Genomic DNA, 6,416 nt, shown 5'->3' with positions numbered 1-6,416 from the left:
TCCTAAAATAATAGACTTAGGCTACAGGTTCATTAATATTATATGGTTCAGCTTTAATATTCTCTGTTTTATCAATCTAATTTACAGAGTATTTCACTGTTTCTCTCATTCTTGGTTTTAAACTTTGTTCCCACCATTTCCTTCCCTCTTTGCATTCTCTCTGCTTCGAGAGCTTAACTCTAAACACACTCATTCACCTGTAAGACCTTCTGGGCATGCATTGATAAACTTCCTCTTATACTTTTATGTCTATTCAGTGGTTTTGCTTAAGCTACAATAAAATAATTCCTATACTTTTATGTGAGAATTGAAACTATTTTAAGGGAAAATAACATACATATCAGAATACAACTAATTCTATTAAGGCCCCACTTTTCAAATCCTCACTTGGACCTATTCACACCATTTTCTTACCCCTGTTTATACTTACAAATCGTGGTCAGAAGTCAAATAACTAACATCAACAGCTAATCACCTTAACTATTTTAAAACCACAGATACTACCTGGATTTCTCCCTGCAGAAATGATGATGAAACATAATATTGAGGCAAAAATGTTGGAACTAAGAAATCTCACTATGTTTCTATTTCTTGTTCATTTTTTCCACTTACCACCTAAAATTCAAGAAGCTCTGTCACCTGATCTCTCCTTTTCACATATATTTATTGATTTTTTTCCCTTTAAAGTAGCATGCCCATGTTTCCTTTCCACTGTGCTGCCAGGACCTACGGTTCTGCTGTACCTAAAATACATCCCCCAACTTTTCAATTTACTCTTCAGTCTTAAAGGCTAATGGGCTCTTTCCCTGTTAAATGTATTAGTAAAGTTAAAGATTATCATTTGTTATCACCAAGAGAAGTCAACATTTCAGGGCCTAAATAGGACTGAAGTATATTTCTCTAAGAAGAAACAGCTCAGAACTAAGTGGAAAAGAAGTATTAGGGGTGCCATGACTCCTTAGCACAGGGTTCACACTTCTGTGTCCAAAGCAGTTCCTTCCAATCTCATCTTATCTCTGCTATCAGGAAAGAGGAAATCTGAAACAGTGGGAAATCTCCAAATTGGAAATTTCATTTCTACTCACATGGCTTAAGCCAAAACATGGCTATACCAAGTTGCTAGAGAATATAGTATATTTTTTTGCAGCTGAGCAGCCACATGGCCAACTAAATTTCAGAGGGATCTATAACTAAGTGGAAGAAGGTGGTAATGGCTATTTGTTGACATTTTTTTTCCTGCCATAATTGTTTATCTGAAAACTTCTCATTTCCCACTCACTACAAATGTTAGAACGGGTTTCCTATTTCCCAACCAGTATTTTTGGTTCTGGTTGAGAAATAGGAAACCCGTTCTAACATTTGTAGTTAACAAAAAGTCTCAAAGCATTTTTGTTAAGGCCCACAATTTTCTATATAGGACATGTGGAATGCGTTGCCACAGGTGATAGTCATTTTCATGTTTTAACCTTAACTCTTAAATATTTGACACTGCTATATACTTTCCCTTCTCAAATCACTGATTTTTATAACTAAATTTATGTAATGATTTTGTTTATGAATGCTCTTAATAAACTTTTTTTCTTTCTCAATCTTCTTCATCAATAATGATGTTAGTGGGGATATAGCCTCACTATAAGCAACTTAGAATAAAGTAAAAGGTGGACATTGAATAACCTTGTATGCATTATTGTCTTCTTTATTTAAAGGGAAGAAATCCTGTAGAATGATTATTGCGGCTGATTATTCAAATGCTTAACTCAAGGGCAGCTTTGATATGTAAATTCTGATTATAAGAACTTCATGTGAAGTGAAACACATCCTAGATAGTGGGTATATTTTGAACTGGCTGCAGAGCTTATAATGACCTTTCTTATTTATTTATTTATTTATTTTTGAGACTGTGTCTCCCTCTGTTGCCCAGGCTGGAGTGCAGTGGTGCGATCTCTGCTCACTGCAAGCTCCGCCTCCCAGGTTCACGCCATTCTCCTGCCTCAGCCTCCCGAGTAGCTGGGACTTTAGGCACCCACCACCATGCCAGGCTAATTTTTGTATTTTTAGTAGAGACGAGGTTTCACCGTGTTAGCCAGGATGGTCTCAATACCCTGACCTCGTGATCCGCCCACCTCGGCCTCCCGAAGTGCTGGAATTACAGGCGTGAGCCACCGCTGAGGGCCCTGACCTTTCTATTTGTACCATCTTCCTCCCATTCATAGTAACAGTCCCTCACAACCATTAGGAACAATGTAATTCTGCTCACTTCCTCCTTCCAAACTGACTAGGCCAGGCAGAGTAACCTAAGTTGAAACAATCATCACACAATACTTGTATTTAGAATAAAAAGTGGTAGAAAAAAAAAGAGTCAAAGAGAGACAGGGAAGATAGCTAGGGAGCACAAATGAGCCAGCGCCCTTGTGAACAAAGCAGAGGAAGAGAGTTTGAAGAAGAAGAGAGTAAAGACAGGACAAGAGAAGCAGAGATAATGAGGGAAAGGAACACTTCCTGGTTCCCTGTCAGCGTTCTAATTCCCCGTTCCAGAAGTCTCTCAGCCTTAATCCTGGCTATACTTTGAGAACTCTGTGAAAGGCTACCTACCTTCTCGTAGCAAACTGCCTCCCATACTTGTTTGCTCAAATTAAGTTTTGTAACCTGAAAGTAGAGAGGTATACAGGACATAAAATTATGTGTTTAAATTTGTTGCTATACATCTCTACCCATGGTCTAGAAACAAAATAGATGTTTCAATGGGAATTTCTATATGTTGTTTGGGGTTGGTTTCTGTAAAAAAGAATAACTTTTCAAAATAATTAAAACGACTAGTGAAAAATATGAGGTAATGTATAGCAACTGAGTATGTTAGCAACAAAAAAAATGCAATGAGTTGTTTTTAAGTGAATATTTTGATAATAAAATTGGAGATCAGCTATATACTAGCATGAGTATAATGAATTGAGGACTACGTTTCACAACATGTAACATAGATTTGTTCGAGACTGTTGAAGAATGAATATAGTCAAACACTTTTTTTTTTCATTTTTTGCCACTTGTTTGGGGAACATAAAAGATGGATTATGCCTTTCATCTTTCATAGTTTAGCCTAACTTCATTCCACTGATCTCCTCAGCTGTTTATAATCGTACAGCTACATTTATAACAGAGTAAAATTAGGTCTAATAGTTATAAGGCAATTTTTGCACCAAAGCCATTGAAATAATTCAAATTACAATGCAGTAACAAACTTTTTTTGTTTCTTTCTATGGTCTTCCAACAATATGGCCCTTGTAATGTCAAATAAATTACAAAGTATGGAAATTAGAAACAAACGGCAAAGAGATGGTAGCGGTAAATTTTGTGGATGTGCAAATGGGTGTGTGTGAATATGTATGTGTGTGTGTCAGAGAGAGAGAGAAAAAAAGAAGTATCAATTAGAATTAAGAAAATATGACAACAGAAAGGAAACAAAGCCATAGTGGCAAATTGGAGATTAGAAACATTCTATGACCCCATGTGTAAATATTACAAAGACAGACAACTGGCCTTAAATAACAGAACATTAAGATTAGTCTGTGTCACCTATAATGTAAATTTAATAAAAACAAATTTGGCATAAATAAACTGAGTGAATTTTAACCAGACTATATGACTGACATATTATAATTTTGAATGATTAATGAAATAATTTATTTGAACCTGCTGATAGCGATTTATTGTAAAAATTGAAGTATATATTGTTTATAGGGTTTCTTGAACAATAGCTTTTTTGAATAAAAATTAATGATTATTTCTTCTCTTTTTGCTGTGCTATATAAAGTGTAAATTATGTCTATTTTGTTCCTTGTAATTCTACATTACAGAAACTTTGTTGATCATACTAATTATATTTTTTGTTTTGCTGCTGTTTTGTAGTCATAAATTCATTGTACTGCAACCCTTGATCTATGACACTGATTTAAAAATTGGATAATATAAAAATCAATATCAATTGTGACTTTGTAGTGATACAATGCTAATAGGCATAATACTGTCTTTAAACCATAGGTCTACATATAGGTATCTGGATTAAATAAATAATTTATCCAAAGTTCATGATGTTCAAAGGTATGAGATCCAATACTTAAATATAATAGTGTCCTTCAAATGAAGGCAAATTGTAGAAGCATATTATCTAAGAATACCAAGTGACATAAAATAAATTACTTAGTTCTGCCTAGCATGTTAAGTAAATGGCACAATGCCAATTGCCTCACCTCTGATATAGTGGAATACAGTATGCCTTCCATTGGGTGTGCTGATTGCACTTGCTAGAAAATTTAAAGGCACTCTGGAGCCCATATTCCCATAAATTACTCCTTTGAGGACACTGTGGTAGAGTAAAAGCATGGAAAATGAGAATCTTCCCTCCTTCTTAGATAAGAATGATGAATCCAGTGGGAAAAGGTAGGGAAGTTAGAAAGATGTGGGAAATGATCTCACCCCTCAAAGCTCTTTACTGTTCCTACAAAGAGCTCTAGGGAATACATTGGTGGAAGTTCTAAATCACTTTCCTGTTGCAAATCTGTGGGGAAATGCCAGATGATTCTGAGGACTGCAAATGAAAAGAAACTTTTCTCTCTTTGTTACATTCCAGAAAAAGTTTGGAATCTCATTTTCTATCTTTAGGAACAGACCATTGCTGTGGTTGCTACCTGAGGCTGCAGGAGCATGGGTGGTTTAATGAGAGTGAAAATCTGTCAACAGTATCGAAGACAGGTAGGCAATAAAGAGGATCTATTAGAAGACAGAAATTGGAACATGTTTGAAGAAGAAAATATATAAACTTAATCTTTAGAGAAACAGTTGCTGAAAAGATGCAGAACAAATAAATCAAGATTTCAGTTAGATAATTGGAAAATAGAAGTAGGAAGGAAAAGAGGAGGAAAGCTCTTTAAATGTTAGCAATGTAGCCTAATAAATTTTTCGTATCTTAAAAAAAACTCTATTTTGCCTATTGAATGTTTTAAATTTATAAGCTGTTAAATTTCACTGATACTCATTTTCATTTTAAAAGATAGATTGGATGTAATCATTATTCAAGAGTATTTGCTTATATTCAACAATAAACTTAGATCAAAAAAGAAGAAATAATAATGATTAGAAGTGTCTGAGAATGGAAAGTGAGAAAGTGATGAAGTTGGTTTGTGGGTTTCCAGGAAGTTATAAGAGAGTCACATAATCAAGTTCATGGCCAACGGACATATCAACACATGATCTAGAAGGAAACAATTGTAATTATTTCAGCAAGTATCCACTAGTTTGTAACCCAAATTTTCTTCCACTTATTTAAATCTTGACTTTAGAAAATGGAATAAATAGGATTAAAATGTAAAATATTGATTTTTTTATTTCTATCTATTCACTAATTCATTTATTCAATTTATATTATTAACAACCTAATATGTACCAAGTACTCTAGTAAATACTGGAGATCAGACTAAACAGAATACAGAGAATTTCTGTCTTTGTGGAGTTAACAGTACGATAGGAAAGACATAGATAGTCTACTGCTAATTACAAATGTGATTATTGTTGAAAAGGAGAAAAAATAAAGATATATTCTTAAGTAAGTTTTTCTGGTTCAATTGTTCAACTTTAAAAATACATCTTTTTTCTTTACAGTTGATCAATTTTCTGACTTTGTTTTAGCATATCTTCCTTACTATTATATTGCAACACCTCTGTATCAGGTAAGGTGGTCCTACAATTTCCATTTTTGGGACCAGGCAAGCAAGCCTGTGGAGCAAAAGGGGCATCACAACACAACAGGGCCCTCAAACTACTGTCAGTGGTGCAAATCCAGGTGGCTTTTGTACAGCCCCAAATCTATGTACGGTTTCTACATTTTGAAATGGCTGAAACATACCAATTAAAGAACATTTTGTGGAACATAAATTACATGACATTCAAATTGTAGTGTCCATATATAAAGTTTTATTGTAAAAGTCATCTTTCATTTACATATTTTCTATGTCTCCTTTCACACTGCAAGGGCAGATTTGAATAATTGGGAAATACATCATATGGGCTGTGAAGCTTAAAACATTGATTACCTATATGGTCTCTCTCAGAAAATGTTAACCATTTCTGTCAAGAAGAGCAATAATTCTTAAAATTTTCATAATACCTAAGTTTTGTTGAGTGTTTTATTATGTGTGAGCCAATATCACTTACTCTTTGCATGTATTAAATTAAGCAGTAAGTGAATTTATGATAAAAGGACTTCCTTCCTTTTATAAATATGAAAATAAAAGTGAGGTGTTTTCCTAATGTCAGGGACTAAGAGTTTGAACAGGGATTTTAACCTTGACAGTTTGGCTCCAAAGCCTCAACTCTTTTTCTACTGGTCTATGCTTATACTAGGAGTAAACTGAGCATGCATAATT

The 6,416-nt window shown here is 34.2% G+C and overlaps 1 long non-coding RNA gene across 2 annotated transcripts; it reads left to right on the top strand.

Annotated features, from left to right (window-relative positions):
• Positions 1–2,583: 2,583 nt before the first annotated feature.
• On the top strand, positions 2,584–5,720 carry LOC105374562 (uncharacterized). Of its 2 annotated transcripts, none has more exons than XR_925543.1 (3): positions 2,584–2,660; positions 4,657–4,746; positions 5,653–5,720. It is a non-coding gene; the product is annotated as an uncharacterized LOC105374562 (long non-coding RNA). The 2 variants fall into 2 exon arrangements; XR_925544.1 differs by lacking the exon at positions 2,584–2,660 and adding an exon at positions 2,768–2,830.
• The last annotated feature ends 696 nt before the right edge of the window (positions 5,721–6,416 follow it).

Source organism: Homo sapiens, chromosome 4, assembly GCF_000001405.40.
Source record: "Homo sapiens chromosome 4, GRCh38.p14 Primary Assembly".
Taxonomy (NCBI): Eukaryota; Metazoa; Chordata; class Mammalia; order Primates; family Hominidae; genus Homo; species Homo sapiens.
Note: the sequence above shows the minus strand (reverse complement) of the source record. Positions and strands in the feature narration are given on the sequence as shown.